Genomic DNA, 18289 nt, shown 5'->3' on the forward strand with positions numbered 1-18289 from the left:
ACTCAGGAGGCTGAGGCAGGAGAATCGCTTGAACCTGGGAGGCGGAGGTTGTGGTGAGCCGAGATTGCACCGTTGTGCTCCAGCCTGGGCAAGAAGAGTGAAACTCCGTCTTAAAAAAAAAAATCTGAGGAAATTAAAACTGGTTGTAAGATTTCCTGTACAGGAGTGGCCTGGTATACGTTAGCCTACTGCTCTCACTAAGAGCTGTATCTATGTCCTATTAGTCCCACAAAAGAAGAAGCCGCTTTCCTGAGCGAGGTTTGGCAGTCAGTGCAATTCTGCATGTTCCTAGGAGGAAATCAGAAAGGTGGTGGGCAGCACTGGTGACCAGCCAGCACCTACAGGCCCGCACATTGCCAGGTGTGCTCAAACAGCAGAACCATAGCTCTCATTTTTCCTCTGGAGTACCATCCCCCCTGCAACTTCCACTCAGACATTTCGTTGGACTCTAGTCCCGCTGACCTGCAAGGAACCAGGATGAAGTGATTGTGCAACAGATTTCTGGGCAGCAGGTGGGCCTGAGGTGTATGAACGGCAATGATGAGTGATGTTTGGCCCGTGCTTCCAACTTTACATCATGATCTCAGCACAGCACTCTGGGAAGCTGCTACCAATTGATTATGTTAGTATTGCAAGATGTAACCTCTTCACCATCGGGGTTTGTCATTAATTTGTATTTAGAATGGTAAACCCCTTACCTCCTGTGCCTTCACACTTCCTGTCTACTTGTCTTACCTGATATTTCTCCACGGCACTTATTACTATCCAAAACACTGTACATTTAGCTTATCATCTGTCTTTCCCCGGGATGTAAGCTTCATGAGGCAGGGATTTTGTCTCCTTTATCTTCTGCTCTATCTCCAGTCTGAGAACAATGCCTGGCACATAGTAGAAGCTCAATAAATAGGAAAGGAAAGGAGAGGAGAGGAGAGGAGAGGAGAGGAGACGAGAGGAGAGGAGACGAGAGGAGAGGAGACGAGAGGAGAGGAGATGAGAGGAGAGGAGAGGAGAGGAGAGGAAAAGAAAGGAAAGGAGAGAGAGACAAGGCACCAAAGACAACAGATGCATCTTTATAAAGAATGTGTCCATTTATTTTATTATTTTAAATCTGAACTTTCATAAAATGATGGTTATCTGCATTTAGCTCCAAACGTTTTTGTGACGTGAAGTGGAGACAAGCCCAGGTTTGGACCTTTGCACCTTACTATCAGGTCCAGCGGCTGCACCATTCAGCCTTGTAACTTAATTTGCATCTGCTGAGACTGTGGCAGCCCCACTGCAAGTGACTCAGTTTTCTTGTAGTGATAGTAAGTAGGGGATGCTGTGCTCCTGACTGCATTTCTCTTACAGCTGGTCAAAGTCAGAAATGATGGTGAAGTACAAGAGGGTGCCCCAGGGTACATGGGAATGCTCGCGGTGCCTGAGACTCTGGGGTGGAGAGACCCCAGTGGGGTTCCAATCCCTCAAAAGGATGCAGCTTAAAAGGGGACCTAAAAGAAACTTAAGCTTGAAGTTTCTGAGATGTAGCATCATTTCTCTTCCTTCCTACACTCATTCTGTCAGGCTCTTTCTTTTTACACACTGCCCCCTCTTCAAGACCCCATCAAGCCAGGCCCCTGCAGACAGACAGCACGCCATGTGGGTGTAGGAACATGCTTACGTGCATGTGCGTGTCTCTGCTGCCGTGCCCTCCTCTGCTGCAGGCTGAACTGCTCACACATTGGTGTGCTGAGAGCCTGACGACATCATGCTGCCCAGCTGGCTTTGGCCTGAAGGTGCTGAGCTGGCTGCCCGGCTCCTGCTTCGATCCCCACCTCCTGGGCTCCTCAGAGCCGGCTCATCCATCAGCTTGAGCTTCTCATGCTCCTCTTTCAGGAAGAAATCCACTAATAAGCTCTTCTCTTTCTTGATCTGGTCGCTGATGTCCGTGGGGATGTCTGGAATCATCCAGTCCACGAGGACGCTCAGGAACATCACGAGGTTCTGCAAAAAGCCAAGGAGAGAGGGGCTGAGTTGGAGAGGCCCGGCCTGGGGAGGTGGCGGCCCTGGAGCAGAATGCCTCTGTGTCAATCCTGGCTTTGCAACTTACCAGCCCAGTGATCGCAACCAGTGAGCATAACTCTACCTTGGTGTCCTCACCCATAAAATGGAGCGGAAACACTGCCTACCCTGGAGTGGTTGTCAGGATGAAACGGGTTCATACATGTGGAGCATCTGCCGCAGTGCCTGGCACAGAGCAGGACTCCATCAGTAGTAGTTACTGCTTCTCCCCTTCCCCAGGACTTGTGCCCCCACACCATCTTCAGAGTGTTCCCATGTGTCCAGTTCTTGCTTCTTGGCCTCTAAGCCTCCAGGCCCTCCCTGCTTTAGAAAATGGAAAGTGGCTTTCTAGCAAGTGGTCACAAAGCCCAGTGGCTTCTCCTGGGCTGTCACGGTGCCACTTGTTCCTCTCCTCCCTCCATCTGGCTCTCTCTATCCTCTACACTAGAGACGGACTTGAGGTTTTTGCCTTGACTTCGGGCCTTCACTGACCCAACCCACTGCTGACATTCACCTTATACCGGTCTCAGTCACTGCAGCCACCTCGGCTAACCCTGCCTGTCTGGGAACCCCTGCATCCAGCTTGCCCCGATTGGGTCTAGGCTTTGGCACACACTTGCAGTGGACTTCCTCCTGGCTGCTAAGCCACATCCCTTTGCTGGTGCACACAGTAGGCTAGGACTACCTTTTCCCCAGAGCACTTACTGTCTCAATGAATGAATATAGGACAACAATGCCTGGCATGGCTCAATGAATGCATCTGATTCCCATCCATTTCCCCAGGCCACACTTCACCCAGCTTTACCCAACACACTCCTCCCATTGTGATACACTTCCCTGGCTGCCAGTTGCACGCTCACATGCCTTTTCCCCTCTGAGACTGGGACTGAGCCCTTGAACCCTACATGTTCCTAGGGGTTCAGGGGAAGACACTGGGGACCAACTGCTGCTTCCAGAGGCTCCTGGGCATCTTGGGTGCTTGGGAGCTGCTTCACCAAGTCACACACTCTTCCTCTGAATCCACTCCTTCCTGTGTGAGTGAAATGTGACATGTGACATACGGGAAAGTGAGGAGACTCCTGGGGGTGGGGCAGCAGGGGATGTCTGAGCGATCATTCAAACATATCGCCTCCATCTCTCCAGAGGAAGAATGGCTGTCTTCTTTAGGTGAAAGACTAGCCGATGGGCTTCTCCACTTTCTGGGCTGGGGTCTGGGGGCAGGATACTTTAGAGCCCCCCAGAGATCTGCCTTCAGGGAATACAAAAGCCTGAGGGAGCCAAAGAGAAAAGGATCTGGGCTCGTTCTCCAGCCCTGCTTGAAGACCGGGGGCACCCAGAGTGGGAATTGGGGGCCCTCGAGCTCAGAGAATCTCAGCGATGCAATTGGAGCTGTGGCTATTGTCCCAGATAGGAATCACTGGGCTCGAGTTTGCTATTCATTCAGGGATGGCTCGATGGCTCTGGGGGCCCTTCTCACCAGATGTCTCAGTGGCTAAAACAACACTAACAAAGGAGGGAGCCCAGAGTGCAAGAAGAAAGGTTCCAAACCTGAGCTCTTTCATGGCTGCAGAGATGAGATGGGGCTGTTTGTCTGCCCCAGGCTGGGACTCTGGTTTCAATGGCCCTTTTCCTTTCTTTGCCTTAGGTTTAAACAGGAATCTATCTCCACCCTGCAACTTATTCCACATCTGTCTTGTAACCTTACACTGTGTTTTATCCTCTGTCTGCAAAGTCCACCCATTAAAGAAAGCCCTCTCAAGAGTCCTCCTGCTTCAACCCGGAAAGGAGCCCTCACTTCTGCCTGCCACACATGAAGCTTTCTTATGTCACAGAGTACCACCGGAACCTGGAGGTAGGTGCAAGCAATGAGTGCAGTGTCCTTACTCCTGCAGCCCGGATTCGAATGGGCTATTCCCTATCCCAGCAACTCACCTGGAAGATTATGACAAAAGCCAGACGGGCGGACAGAATAAACCAGTACTGTTTCGAAAACTCATAAGGGTTCGGGGCCCATGGCGGCTCTCGGTAATCCTTAAACCTGCCCAAAGAGAAATGTGGTGTTAAGATCAGGAGCGCATGGAGAAAAGGGTGGTCATTCTCTGGGTGAAACCTCGAGGGCTGGCTGGAGCATCAGGCACGCATGCCCTTGGCATTGACTTGAGAAGCAGGGGGAAGTGGGGGGAATCTATGGCCTAACCAACAAATTTCCAAAAAGGACTAAAGTCCAAGAAAGCCAATGTCAGCCTAGAAATGTCCTAAAAAGACATTTCTACTACCCTCTCCAATAGCTCCCAAAGCTTACTTTGGTGTCAGGCATCAACTCCCAAAGGAGCCCAGGGCATCTGAGGGTAGTCCAGGCCAGTGGGTCCACCTGGGCCTCCCACTAGCCTGTGGCCTCTGTGTGGGTAGGGGAGACCCAGACACCCTGAATGGTGCTCTGCAGCCGGGGGGGTTGGGGAAGATGCAGACACCAGCAGGCAGTCTTGGGCTTCTTCCCCTTCCAGATGCTTCAGGACTACGGCCACTAGAGGGGCTGGCCTTGCTTCATGGCTGCATTCTTGAACCAAAAAGAAGGCTGATCCAGACCAAGCTGGAGGCTGAGTGAATTTGGGATGGGAGGGTCATTAAGCATCACAGTTGATCAGTATTCTGTTTTGCTAATCATCTTCCTGATCTGTCTGCATGGTTTAAACTACAAAATGTTAATGCCTGACGTGATTTCATGCCTCTTTCTCAGACCCATAGAGAAGCCTTGGGTTTTCCCTCACCCTTGCCTTTTCACCCCCATCCCAGAATGATTCATGTGAATACTAGCTCATTTTCTCAGACTCACATTTTTCTAAGCCTGGAAAAATGACAAGGGGCTGGTACCAGAACTATGACCCTTCCTGGAACAGTTTTCTCCATGGAATTCAACAAATCTTTGCTCATCCTGGGCCAGAGAAAGAGGTGGGTGGTGTCAGGCCACCAAGCAATGATAGTGGCTGCCAAGGAAGGCAGGTAGGGACTCTGCCCGGGTCAATCCCTGAGCAAAGGGTTTTTCTGGAAGGTTTCACATTTCATCTTCACGACAACATCCTCAGGCAGGCATTGTTACCCCAGCATAACACAGGAGGAAACTGAGGCTTGGAGAAGTTGAAGTGTGTGGCCAGAGTCTCGTGACCAGTAAAGGTGGAGTCAGGGTAGGAATGCGAGTCTGGCTGAATCTAGGCTTTCTTCCCATTATCACAGGGCATCTTACCAGTGACCGCAGTTTAGGGGACATTCACAAGTAGGTGCTCTTTGGTCCCTTCTCCTGCCATAAATGAATTAGCTGCTCTAAAAGGTCCATGCAAAAGCTAGTTTGTTTTCCATTGTCCAAAGAGAGATGAGAGAAGAAGAGAAGAGAAAAAGAGGAAGAGAAAAAGAGACGCACACACAAAGATAAAAAAGAGCGCAGTGATAGAATCAGCAACAGAAAGACACAACTGAGAGGTGGACACTGGGGACTCGACTAGGGCTTGGCAGGAGGCCAGGAGCTACCCTCTCCCTGCCCGACTCCCCCTCTCCCAACAGCTGATCACAGCTGCCGCAAGCTTGGTTTGACATCCGGATGAAAAGCAAAGCTAACTGCAGCCCAGCAGAGCACCACGGGATTCATCATAACCGTCCTCAGCTGAGGACAGAAACATGGCCAGCTCCAGATTATCCTTGCTGATGGCAGAGAGGGAGAGCGTGGCTAAATGAATAAGAACATCTTGGGGTGGGAAAAACCTCAGACTCACCTATCCTCCCGTCGCCCCCAGACAGGACGCCATGGCAACAGCAATTTATCTCACTCTTCTAGAGACCTCCAGAGAAGGGTGCCACACACACATACACACACTCACATGTGTGCACACACGCACACTCCTTACCATGGGGAAATCCTTCCCTGGGTTCAGCCCAATCCCTACTGCTACAATGAAAGTCCATTTCTCTTGTTCTCTAGCTGCATCTCTGCAGGAACAGCTGCTCACTGACCTCAGTATGCGAGCCACTGCTCACCCCTCTTTTTTCCAGTCTGAAAAGAATCCATAAATAATCTAATTCTGGTTCCACCTCTGCTATTAACTCACCCCAGCTTTTGGAAATGTCACTTTGTCCTCCCTCAGTGTCTAAAACATGTTTTAAGTTTAACAAGCATATCCATCTAATTGAGGATCTGCAGAAAGACTAACACAGAGATCTGTTCAGAAAACTCTACTTGAAAATAGCTCGATGCAGATAGGCTAAGTGTAGCTCCGTTAGGAACTGATGGTAAGCCATGCCACAGAAAAGAACAGTGAGCAATTTAATATTCATCTGTTCACATTTCTTTCCAAAGCTAACTTTATAAAAACTATGACCTACAGTGAGAAATACATTTTACATTCATGCACATACACAGACTGCAATAAAAATTACACAAAACATACTTTGTTGTGTGCAATGCACTAGAATGCACTAGTATTTTCCTATTCTACTCTATCTGATCCTAACCCACCCTATGCTTTTTTTTTTTTTTTTTTTTTGAGATGGAGTCTCGCTCTGTCGCCCAGGCTGGAGTGCAGGAACGTGATCTCGGCTCACTGCAACCTCCGCCTCCCAGGTTCACGCCATTCTCCTGCCTCAGCCTCAGTCCCTCAGCTGGGACTACAGGCGCCCGCCACCACACCCGGCTAATTTTTTGTATTTTTAGTAGAGACGTGGTTTCACTGTGTTAGCCAAGATGGTCTCGATCTCCTGACCTCCTGATCCGCCCGTGCTGGCCAACCCACCCTATTCTTCAAAATGCCGATCATGACCCACTAAAGTGATTTCATAATTCACTAATGAACCATGACTCATAGTTTGAAAAACCTTGATTCTCCTAAGCCCCTACCACCAGGTAAATGACTCGTTGTTTACATTCCAACAGTAAGTTCAGATTTCACAATTGTTTTTAAATTTTACCCTAAGAAGTCGGGCTTATCAAATGTTTCACTGAGTAACTTAGAAGACACTAATTAAACAAAGAGACAATTAGCTTTAAGAATAGAAGTGTTCACCAAAGAGAGTGGCTAATCAACCGAATAATTTCCACCACCGTGATGCTGCGTGTTTTGTTTCTAAACCCAGTGCTTAGCACTGGCGACAGTTCGTGCTTTGGAGGTAGCAGGTGAGGGGTTGAAAGCCCTGTCCAGCACTGTCGTTCTCTGTCCTCTTGCAAGTTACCTAACCTTCTGATGCCCAGCTTTCTCATCTATAAAGTGGGCCTGAACTTTCCATCACAGAGTTGTTCTGAAGACGGAGGGTCAACGCCGAGTGCTCCGCACACTATCTGGCCCATCAGAGGAACCCAATAAATAGCAACTATTCTTTCTCTTTTTACTGGAGGTTACTTATGGAATACACCTTTTCTGTTAAAAGAGGACAGAGCATGTAGATCACGGCTTCCAGTTCCTCCTAGCTTTCCAGAAGGATTTTTGAACATGTAAGCACTAAATGCTGCAAGTTTTAGTGCAAATCAGGAGTCAGCCAAGGGCACAGCCATACAGGGCTTCTCTCAGGACCTCTGTCCAGGTAAATAGCATGAAATGGGCAAGTGCTGGCTGGTGGGTGGAGGCTGCCAGACAGCTCCACAACAGACCCGTTCCCATGGCTTGGGGAGCTCGGGCCTCCCAAAGTCCCACTGAGTTCCCCAGCACTGGGTGAGCCCCCACAACTGGTCAGACTCCTGCAGCTGCCAGCCGTGCCCCCAAAGAGAAGCAGAGTTTTATCCCCAGCATATTATTTTAGGGATGTTCCTGGATCTCACCCTCACCCCTCCAGTCCTCCTTCATTTTCCTTGAGGCTTAAATAACATAAATTTTGAGAGTTCCCCTGAGTTTTCTAATAAGGAGAGACTTCCAATAATGAGACAACTAGCCTGTCTAAAAAGCTAGTCTGCACCTGGAGCAGCTACGCCACTTACTACCTGTAAGAGACCGAGGAAGTCATTCCCCATTTCCGAACCTAGGTCCCTGATCTACAGAGTGGAACTCCCAAAATGTGTATCCCAGCGCTGAGCATAGAGGAGCTGTCTCAATCCCAGCCAGGAGTGAATAATAGATGTGTGTGCGTGTGTGTCTGCTTGTGTGTATACCTTGCATTTTAAAGAAAGACACTGTGAGAATTAAATAAGACAATCTAGGTGAATATGATTTCCGGAGCTTTTGCAGAAAATGAACACAACAGTTTCTTCTGGGATAGAACAGCTGGGGTGGGGGCTGAGAAGTGACACTTTTCTTCTTATATACATACACAATATGTGTCTATGAAATTAATTACTTTTACAATTAAAAAGTTCAAAATGGTAAAAGATGAATGTAATTAATGGCAATACACAGTTGATTCAAGTACATTTTTATAGTAAGCTTTCCTGAGCAAAATTATGTTAATTTGAACAGACTCATATAATAAATGAAAGTGATACAGAAATCAACATTATGTTTTAGCTTTAAAATTATGTTAATATTTTATCTAGATTGTTCTAACTTTGTGAAAACTCACATTGATTGAATTGAGTTTGTACATGACTTAAATAAGATTTCCATTAACTCAAAATATATTTCATTATAAAACAAACCCATGAAACAATACCTTAAAAGTCCTACAAGTTAATACTATGTTAATGCATAGAAAAATGCCTAGAGAACATTCACCCGTAAGTATCACCCTATTACTGTTGGAAGGATGCCTGGGGTTGGGCAGGGGTTAGGGTGGAGGCAAAACAGAGGTGGAGTGGTTACCTGTAATGTTTAGAATTTTTGTAGAACTAGATTAATAAATGACATGTCATTAAACCTGAAGTTTAAAAAAAAAAAGAAAAGAATCTTTGAAGATTTTTTATTCCAAAGTCTCCATTTTTACAGATGAAAAAACTGAGGTACAGAGAGGAGAGAGACTCAGGGCTCAGATGTCCTCATCCTGTCCTCACTTGCAGGGTGACTAGTGACAGTGACATCTGCCACAATTCATCACAACACAAAATCACTGTGGGCAGGGACAGTGCTGAAGTCAACGATCAGTAACAGCTTTTTAATGAGCTTTTGTTATGTAATGAATCAGCTAGTAAATGCATTTCTCAACTCCAAATAGTGGCATGTAAAAAACATTTTAGTAGCCCCAGTGGAAATTAATGTCATGTTAATGCTGAACACAACTACATACAATATTTTCATACCATCTGAGCTACTTAAAACTGCCTCCTGGAATTGACCCTTAACAAAGGAAAACAGTACAGGCAATTAGGAACTAATGAGTAGCATGTCAATCCAGTGGTTGATAAGAATCAGGAAATGTGGCACCCAGAAAAGCTAACAGCCTCTGGTTTCGGTGGGAAGCAGATGGGAGGCAGCCATGGGCTGGAAGGGAGCACCCCTCTTCAAAGACTTTTGTCAGGATACGGGGTGTGCAAGCCCTTAGGACCTGCAGGAAAACCTGGCAGAAGCCATCCACAGAAGCTGCTGCTGGATGCTCAACAAACACCTCCAAGCAGACCCGCTGGGTTGACAATGCCCAGGTAGGCTCTTCGAGCTCTGAGACAAGATATCTATGCTCCCTTCCAGCTGAGCTGGGAAGTCAAGCCTACATCCGTCCTCCAGGACGTGGCGGCCCTTCGACCCTGTCAAATGCTGCTAATCATGCCTGCAGATTGATGTCACGGGACTGTTTACGGAGCAGCCCTGCCAGAGCAGTCAGATGACAGAGGCAAGCATCGCTCCAAAATGCTGGGAATGCATCTCAAACGGGCAGCCGGAGACTTGTGCTAACTTTTATTGCTATTTTTAAGATACCTCTATCCCTGGCGAGGCTGGGTTGGAGTCGGAGACCTCAGTTTTATTTGACCACATTTATCTCCAGAGGTCACTGAAAGCTAAGAATAAGAAGGGTCAACAAGTTCCCAACGCTATTTGCCAGAAAATCATGGCAAACCTTGTTTCCCACCACGGAAGCAGTTTTAACTGGCTCTAGGACTAGCTGAAGAGTTATCTCTGTTTCTCAAAATACTTCTCTATCATAGTCCCTTCTCCTCCTCCTCCCCTCTCTCTTTCTTCTCTCTCTCTCTCTCTCTTCCATGTACACATATATGTATACGGAATTATCTCAAGGATCTCAATTCCTGACTTAGAAAGACATCCATAGAGGTTATGCCTCTGCTTTCTAAATCTCCAGAGAATTGAGTGACCCAGTCAAGTTCACACAGCAGGCAGTGGATAGGACTCATATGAGGCAGAGATTTCCATCAACAACCCTTATCAATCTAGGAAACGCAGCCCCCAGAGCACACCTATTTGACATATTATGTCTAGATCACATGCTGACCTTATTTTCTGAACATCTACCTATATTTCACAGTAGGGCATCTCTTTATGTTAAACATAACCCTCAGTGTAACCCAATAGTCTTCACACTGTAGGCAGAGATGTAACACCAATAAAAAGCTTGATCTCATCACTGCCCTCTGAAACCCCTACAGTGGTACCCTGTGGCCCTAAGAGAGACTCCACGCACCTCAACAGGACCAGCATCCTCTCCTTAATATGGAGTTTGTTTTTTTCTTTCAGCCTCCTCTCTCATAGCTTACCCCTCTCACCTGAGCCTGTCTCCCTGGAATACAGTGTTCTCTCGGAACCTCCATCACTACCTGACACACCCCTTGCTGCCCCATGACCTACCACCCTCCCCACCCCACTTACCAGCCAGGCTGACATGGCCACATGAGTGAGGAGTTTCAATGTGATTGTCTCCATGGCCATTCTTGTACTGTTCATTCTTCAGGTTTCATCTCCCTTGAAAATCCCCTAAACACTTAAGTCTGTGTTAGGTGCAGGGCCTCCCTCCTTAGGGATCCCTTAGCTCTCTGCTGTTGCCCTATTGTCAATCATTAAAGCTGTATTTTAATTTTAATTCCTTGTTTACTTATTGTCTGCTCCATCTAGAGTTCTTGAGGGATGCACTATATCTCGCTCCCTATTATACAACCAATGCCAAGCCTTTAGTAGGGTCTCAAAAATATTTGCCTAATGAATCTGTAATCCTCACTGGTACTGAGAGAGGAAGGAAAAATGATGGATGCTTCAAAGTCACTTCAGCTTGATCTTGGGATGATTTATTTTCTGCAAATAAATTTTTTTGGCAGAAATATAGAATGAAAGTGCACTTTCTATGCATGTGCCCACTGATAATTCTGCCACTCGGTGTCAGATTTTTTTCTAAAACGGGCCACAAACAAGCCATGATCTTATCTACTTGCATGGGAATAATGGGGAGACAACTATCAGAGCCTTATAGCTGGCCGGAAAATCCAGTGACTCTGAAGGCAGATACAAGAAAGCTCAATCTGATCCACACATATTCACAATACCTGGTGTCCTGGGCATTGGTTGTTTTGGCTGAGTAGCACCCATTTGCCTTATTTCTCACCACAGTTCCTGGCAATCATACGGAACTTAAAAACACAGTCAACATTGACTGCAGTGGAACTGGGAGGTGGGCAGAGACTGGATTTGGGCAGACTGGATTGAATGAAAACTTGCCTAAGATTAGATCTACCTTCAACTTCCCATAGGGACCATTAAAATTCCTATTGATTTAAGCCTGTTTCACCAGTGATATACCTGAAAAGCATATTCATAGGTGTTAGTGGAAAATCCAATGGTCAAGGGCAAGATCAGAGACCCTTGTGCTCTGAGGACAAGTGCTTCTAGAGCAACTAAAGAAACAGACGATGTGAGCCTGGCTTTCCCACACGACAAGTCACACTGGTGCTGCCTCCCATTGGACATGGAGGTGGAGACCTGCGCTCTTAGAGAGATGTGAGCTTTAGACCCTGCTTTGAGAAGACCTAGATGCTACTGGAAAGGCCTCGAGCTGGTCCAGACCCTCTGTGCTGTGGAACTATGTCGCTGGGGTCTGCAGACCCAAGTCCAGCACCATGGACAGACAGTCTAGCATGTCAGCCATGCAGAGGGGCCCCCAGGCAGTGCATAGCCTGGCAGCAAATCTGCCTGCAATGTGATTTTAGTATGAGAGTCAGACTCTTTATAGGCCCAGATGCGAAAAATCCTGAAACATCTAGGCTAATATAAATTGACACTTATGAGTAAATTTATTCATCAATTCTTGTGTCTGGTTCCTCATTTTTTATCTTTTCTTGGTTGACGACAGTGGAACCCTGAAGTTGTTGTTCCTGGAACTGGAATACCCTTCTATTTAAACCATAGATTGGTACAGTTGTTTAACTCAGCCACCCAGGTTGGGAAAACCAATTGGTGTTCTCTCGTTCATGGTCTCAGACCACAAATCTGAACCTATGTGGCTGTCTTACGAAAGGCTGGCCTTGGGCACCAAGCATGGCAGACATGCCCAGGGTCATCACTGCTGCCAACACAACTGAAAACACAGCTTTTACATCAAATATTATTGGGGATGGTCTAAGAAAGCCCTATGTTGGTCCCACAATACCTTCTCTTAGGTTTTTGTTATTGGTGTAATTAACTATTCTGATTTATATATATGAGGTAGGATCTTTGGTCAAGTGCTTTATTGGGACTATCTTTTAACCAGGGTACAAATGGGTTGAATAAATTATTCCCCTCTGCTCTTATTCTCTTCATTTGCCCTTCTTGGGTAAATAGTGGAGAGTTTTCCATTTCTTGGCTTCAGTGACCCCAGTGCTGATGGCCTTCAATCAGGACTCTAAGTTGGACGTCTCCAGAAGTCCAGCTTAGTGTGTCAAGGAGTTGGGTGAAAATGACCTCTTGGATTTCTTAACATCGTTTTAAATGTAACATGATTGAAATCAAATTCATCATATGTAGCATAAAATTAGACTCTCTCAGCATATTCCCTCTCCCTATCAATGTAACCACATCCCAGTCCTCTGACTTCAGTCCAAGTTTTGGAGATAATCCTAGCTCAGCCACTCTCCTATGTCTACTGTCACCAACTCTGCAATATTTCATGTGAAATAGCTCATCTTCTCCTCTCCTCTTAATTCCTCCCGCCACCCTGGTTTATGCCCAGCACAGTTCATGTCTAAATGATGCAGCAGCCCAGCTGCGCTCCCTGGGTCCTACCAACTCTAGCCCATTGTCCTCACTGAGAACAGATCAATTTCTCTAAACCTTCCCTTTATCCTATCATTCCCTGACACTAAAAAAGTCCAGTGTCTTCCTATTGCATCACATTCTAATTCCCGTTAGATTTCAGGACTTCCCATTATGTACTTTATCCCATCTCTTCAAATTCAACAACCTTTTGGCTTATGCTGGTGTAGGAGTTTCTACATTTACTGTATTTCCTTTATTAATCCCTTTACTGTGTCTCCTTGCTAACCATATCACCTAGCACCAAGTCTTTATCCAACAGCCCACATTTGTCCCCACCCCATGACTTTGCCCATGACGACTCCCCACCTAGAATGTTTTTCTTTTCTCTCTTACAACACCTAGCTGCCCCTCCAGGAGGCCCACCCTTTCCATTCTAGTCCCTCAAGTAATCTCCCTCTCCTCTGAGCACCCACAATGCTCATGGTCCATACATAAGCTCACCAAATAACCTGCTATTTCCTATCTGTTCTGCTTATTTTCTTCTCAACCAGACCATAGCCCCCTTGATGGTGAGGACAAGGCTCTTTGTCTGCTCCATAGTGTCTAGAAAAAGGCAGTCCATAAATATTTTTTGAGTCATCAAAGCTGATTTATAACAATTGATTTATAACAACTGCAGAGAGAGCAGGAGACAGAGGGAAAGGAGAATGATGTACAGTCGTGTGTTGCTTAACGATGGGGATATGTTCTGAGACATGCATCATTAGGTGACTTTGCAAACATCACAGAACGTGCTTATACAAATCTAGATGCTATATAGCCTACGTCACACCTAGGCTATAAAGTATAGTCTATTGCTCCCAGGCTACAAACTTGTACGGCATATTACTGTACTGAATACTGTAGGCAGTAATATAGTGGTAAGTATTTGTGTACCTAAATATATCTAAATACAGAAGATGTATGGTAAAAATATGGTATTATAATCTTACGGGACAATCGCCATATATGTGGTCTGCTGTTGTCCAAAACATCATCATGTTGTGCAGGGTTGTAATTCTAGGTCGTCCCCGTAATTATTTGGATCTATTGCTTCTGGTCCTCTGCTGCCCTTCTCCTGAAGATTACTTTACCTGCAGAACTGAACCTCCTGGTCAAACTGTGAGTTTTCTGGCTGCGTCCCCTCCTTCAGCTGGCTGACGTTGAAAAAGGAGAGGGTGTGGTTGACAAAGCCGTGCAGAGTCCCATTGTGACTGTAGGAGTACTGGTACACCAGGCGGGGGATAAAGTCGGAGGTGATCGCAATGACAAAAGCCTGAGGGACAGAACCATAAGCACTGAGTAGCCAGGATTGATGCTAAAAAGGACTGTCCACTCTTAGGCTCCCCATCAGAAGGAGCTGCTCTGACTGATACAGAAGCTCATGCAGCATGATCAGGTCCCTGAGCTCATGCAGCTGAGTCACATGCCTTTTCCATCTTTGATGTGTATAAGTATAATAAGTCCACCAGACAGTGGCTGTCAAAAGAGCACATGTCAACCACTGCAGCAAAGCATGCTAAGTCAATTTGGACCATTTGGTGCTGGAAGGATTAAACCACTTCTGAGATATCTAACATTGCTGTTGAGCAAGCCAAAACAGGGTGCACGCTTTCCTGAAAAAAATTACCTATAGTGATGAGGGTACTACGTAAGTGTAATGGGCAAGGAAATGGAATGCCCATGTACATCTGCCCCTGAGTAGTACCAGAAAGCCAGAAATACCAAGAATATGATTCCACAGTTTGCTTAATTTGACCATTATCTCTCAACACTTTTTAGCATGTCATGTAATAGAAGTTATTCTTGTATCCATTTTACTTAAGAAAACGGAGACACAGTGGAGAAAGAAACAGGTCCTGCTAGGTGGAGCCACACACACCCAACACAGCATCTGGCATGTCTAAGTGCTCTATAAATGTCCATGGAGCAAACCAAATGACAAATGAATGATTGCGTATTTGAACACAGGGGTACTTTCTGCAAAGAAAGTCTTAAATCTTTTTGGCAGGTGTTTATACTGCATCCTGCACCAACAATTAAAGCCCTTTACCAAAATGTAGTTCAGATATTGTTCTCTAAATGTGTATGTGAATGTGAACGGCCAGAACCATATTTGAGAGTGAATAACATCATAATCATAGCTACAACTTACTGGGCACTTGTTATATGTCCTTTCATCATGCCATTTAATTTCCCAAATGATCTTATTTGGTGGGTACTATTATTATCTCCCATTTGACAGATAAGTAAACAAGTCTTAAAGAGGCCAGGGAAGTAAGACTGCACGTCATTTCGTACTGTAGATGGAAAGTGATTAATACTCAGGGCCTCTGTTCTAACAGACACAACTTCAAAGTAGCGGACTGATCTGTTTTCCAACTTGCACCTTATTTCTAAGCCTCGAGATGTGCACTTCCTACATCACAACATTCAAAATGCAGTGGGCTGATTTGCTCTGCCTCACCTCACACCTTCCAGCCATTTTATGTGATCTGGGTAGGAAATCAGGTCAGAGTCAAATCACTGTTTGCCTCCCAAGGGAAAAGGGCTGTGGCTTTCTTTGTGTGCACTGAGCTGGCTGATATGTTCCTGGGAGGTGGGACAGGAGGCCCTTCCTGGCCACTGTCCTTAGAGAATACAGCAGAAAAGGAGCTGGCTGGGGCCCAGCAGGATTTCCTCTGCAGTGTAGACATATCTGGCAAGGGAGTTAAGGAGGTCACCACAGGTGGGACCCTTCTTCTATGTCCTATCTTAACCTACGCAGTGCCAGAGTCCACGGGGATAATTAAGATTTTGCACTGACAACCTGGAGGAACGGTAATTAGGGATTGTAGCCTGGGCAATGCTCCAGGTATTGTTTAACTCAGGAGTAGAGTAAGAAAGGAAAGAGATGAATAGATATGTGGAATTCTTTCCTCATTATTCTTGGCTCCAAGGAAAGATCTGATTTTGACCGTCAGGGCCAAGGTATGCATTCTGATGGATAATTACCTTTCTTTCTCTTTGTGAAATTAAAATTAAACCTACACAGCCTCAGCGACAGCATGATGGGTTACAAGGCATTTGTGAGCTGTTAACCAGAGCACTGTCACCAATAAAGCTACAAATGGAAAAGGCTGGGAGGTGCAAGGGCTGGCTTCCCACTTTGAAGACCTCAGCTTCTCTGGAAGCCCTTCCCACAGAGCGAGTGTGTCATGAATGCAAGTACTTACGTTGCTGATAACAGAGAACTTGCCAATTCCAGAGAGAATGTCAAACCAGATTCCTACAAGACAGAAAAGACAGCGTCTGGCTCACTCCCGCCCTCGGCCCAGTGATGACAACGCTGAAGCTCCAGGTGATGTTTTGCAGGTGAACTACGGAGCAGCTTTGCTGGGCCCCCCCAGAATGGGCTTGTCTGGAAAGGCTTAGGTAGCCCCCCCATCTGGAAGCTCAGATCACAAGTGGGGGTGGATAAAGCGGTCTCAGAAGGCGTCCCTGCACTTCAGGATATGAGGATGAGGGACCCAAAGGGAAGAGGGGCTTTCCCAGCCCTCTTGATTCCTGGTGTGGTGTGACTGTGGCCAGAGGGGACAGAATGGCAGAAGGATGGGCCTGGTGGGGCCTCTAAGTGGGGCACGTACCGATATCTTTGGTTCTTACAGCATCCGGCCGTCTCAGCTCTGTAACAAACTTCTTTGCATCGAGCCGCACTTCAATGACGTTGTTGAGGAGGGCAAACACAGGTGCCAGGGGAAAGGAGGCCACGAAGAGGGTGACAAAACCAAACTGGATGACTGCGAGAGAGCACAGCATGAGGGCTTCAGCAGGAACAAGCAGGACTCAGGTCCCTTCTGGCTTGCAGCTACAGCCCCTTGTCCTTTCTGCCTTGGGTATCTTTCCCATATGGGGTAATTTTTAGTCTCCCTTTTCCTCCTGTGTCACATACACGGTATTTCTTTCTAAGTACCTGCAGGCCTGTTGGTCAATGCCATCACTTGGGAGCAAAGCTCTGGATTAGGCATGGTGGGGAGATACAAGAAAAAAAAGTCTTAATTGCTTCCTTTACCCTTTACTGCCAGTCACTAATCCTACTGATCTAACTCAGGGTTTGGTAAACTTTTTTAGTAAAAGGCCAGATCATAATAAACATTTTTGGATTTGCAGGCCATATGGTTTTGTCACAACGACTCAACTCTGCCATTATACAGTAAAAACAGCTATAGACAGCACATCAACAAGTGGGCTTGGCTGAGTTCCAATAAAACTTTATTTACAAAAGCAATATATAAAGTGACTAGGTTTGGCCCACGGGCCACAGTTTGCCTTCCCTTGAAATAGCTTTAAAAACCACCTCCCAGATTTGGACTCTTCTTTCCATGTCTACAGTCACTGCCTTTGTTTAGAAAGTTTATTCATCCATCACGCATTTATGGAGAGCATTTATAAATGTCAGGCCCTGTACCAAGTATTTAAGAAGGCAAAGGTCTGTTCTGGCCTGCAAGAAGCTGGGTTTGAAAGTGGAGAGTTAAGTGTAGGCAAACATGTGCAACAAGGTTTTATGTATGCCAAGAGAGAATAAAGAATGTACTAGTGATAGAGAAGGCCCAAATGGAGAGGAACGTACATTGTTCAGGGCAGGGACTGAATGGGTCTCCATGTAGAGTCCCTCAGCACAGTCTGGAAAGATGGGCATGCAGTTTTCTTGAGGATTAAGTCAAAGAGACCTTCTAAGCTATGGAAGCAGTGTGAGCAAAAGCATGGTGGCACAGCCCATGCCCATGAGACAGCTGGAAAGAGTCCAGCCCTACCTGGACCATTGCAACAGCCTCCTGACGGGGTTTCTTGTCACCATTCTCCCAGGATGCTAGAGTCTATCCAGCACACAGCCCCTCTCACCTGATTCTGTTATCTACCTGCTTATAAAAATTCCTGTTGGCTCCACTCTGTTCACTGAATATAATCCAAAGTCCCTACCGGTGCATACAGGTGCTTTATAATCTGCCTCCAATCTGCCTCCCTAGCTTCATCTCCTAGCATCTCCCCAGCAACGACCATGGTCCTGCCTTCTCACCCTCCTAATTGTCCCCTGCCACATTAGTTCTTTCCACTCATTTGTGCATAAGCATACACTCTGGCTGGCAAGCTTCTAT

The 18289-nt window shown here is 46.4% G+C and overlaps 1 protein-coding gene across 3 annotated transcripts in view, besides 1 other annotated feature; it reads right to left on the reverse strand.

The window, feature by feature from the left end:
* Positions 1 to 1069: 1069 nt before the first annotated feature.
* ANO2 (anoctamin 2) overlaps positions 1070 to 18289 on the reverse strand; it is a 383578-nt gene continuing 366358 nt past the window's right edge. For all 3 annotated transcript variants that reach the window (NM_001278597.3, NM_001364791.2, NM_001278596.3), the window contains 5 exons: positions 16781 to 16933; positions 16370 to 16422; positions 14249 to 14430; positions 3973 to 4078; positions 1070 to 1983 (listed from right to left, as the gene is read on the reverse strand). In NM_001278597.3, the coding sequence (NP_001265526.1) occupies positions 1714 to 1983; positions 3973 to 4078; positions 14249 to 14430; positions 16370 to 16422; positions 16781 to 16933 (764 nt within the window). In that variant the 3' untranslated portion in view covers positions 1070 to 1713. The remainder of the gene's footprint in view (positions 1984 to 3972; positions 4079 to 14248; positions 14431 to 16369; positions 16423 to 16780; positions 16934 to 18289) is intronic.
* Positions 10637 to 11138: an enhancer, noted in NCBI's record as "OCT4 hESC enhancer chr12:5681388-5681889 (GRCh37/hg19 assembly coordinates)". NCBI's record gives its function as "activates a minimal SCP1, AML or CMV promoter by ChIP-STARR-seq in naive H9 embryonic stem cells {active_cell/tissue: H9 hESC(naive)}" and the evidence as "EXISTENCE:reporter gene assay evidence [ECO:0000049][PMID:30033119]".

Source organism: Homo sapiens, chromosome 12, assembly GCF_000001405.40.
Source record: "Homo sapiens chromosome 12, GRCh38.p14 Primary Assembly".
Classification (NCBI taxonomy): Eukaryota; Metazoa; Chordata; class Mammalia; order Primates; family Hominidae; genus Homo; species Homo sapiens.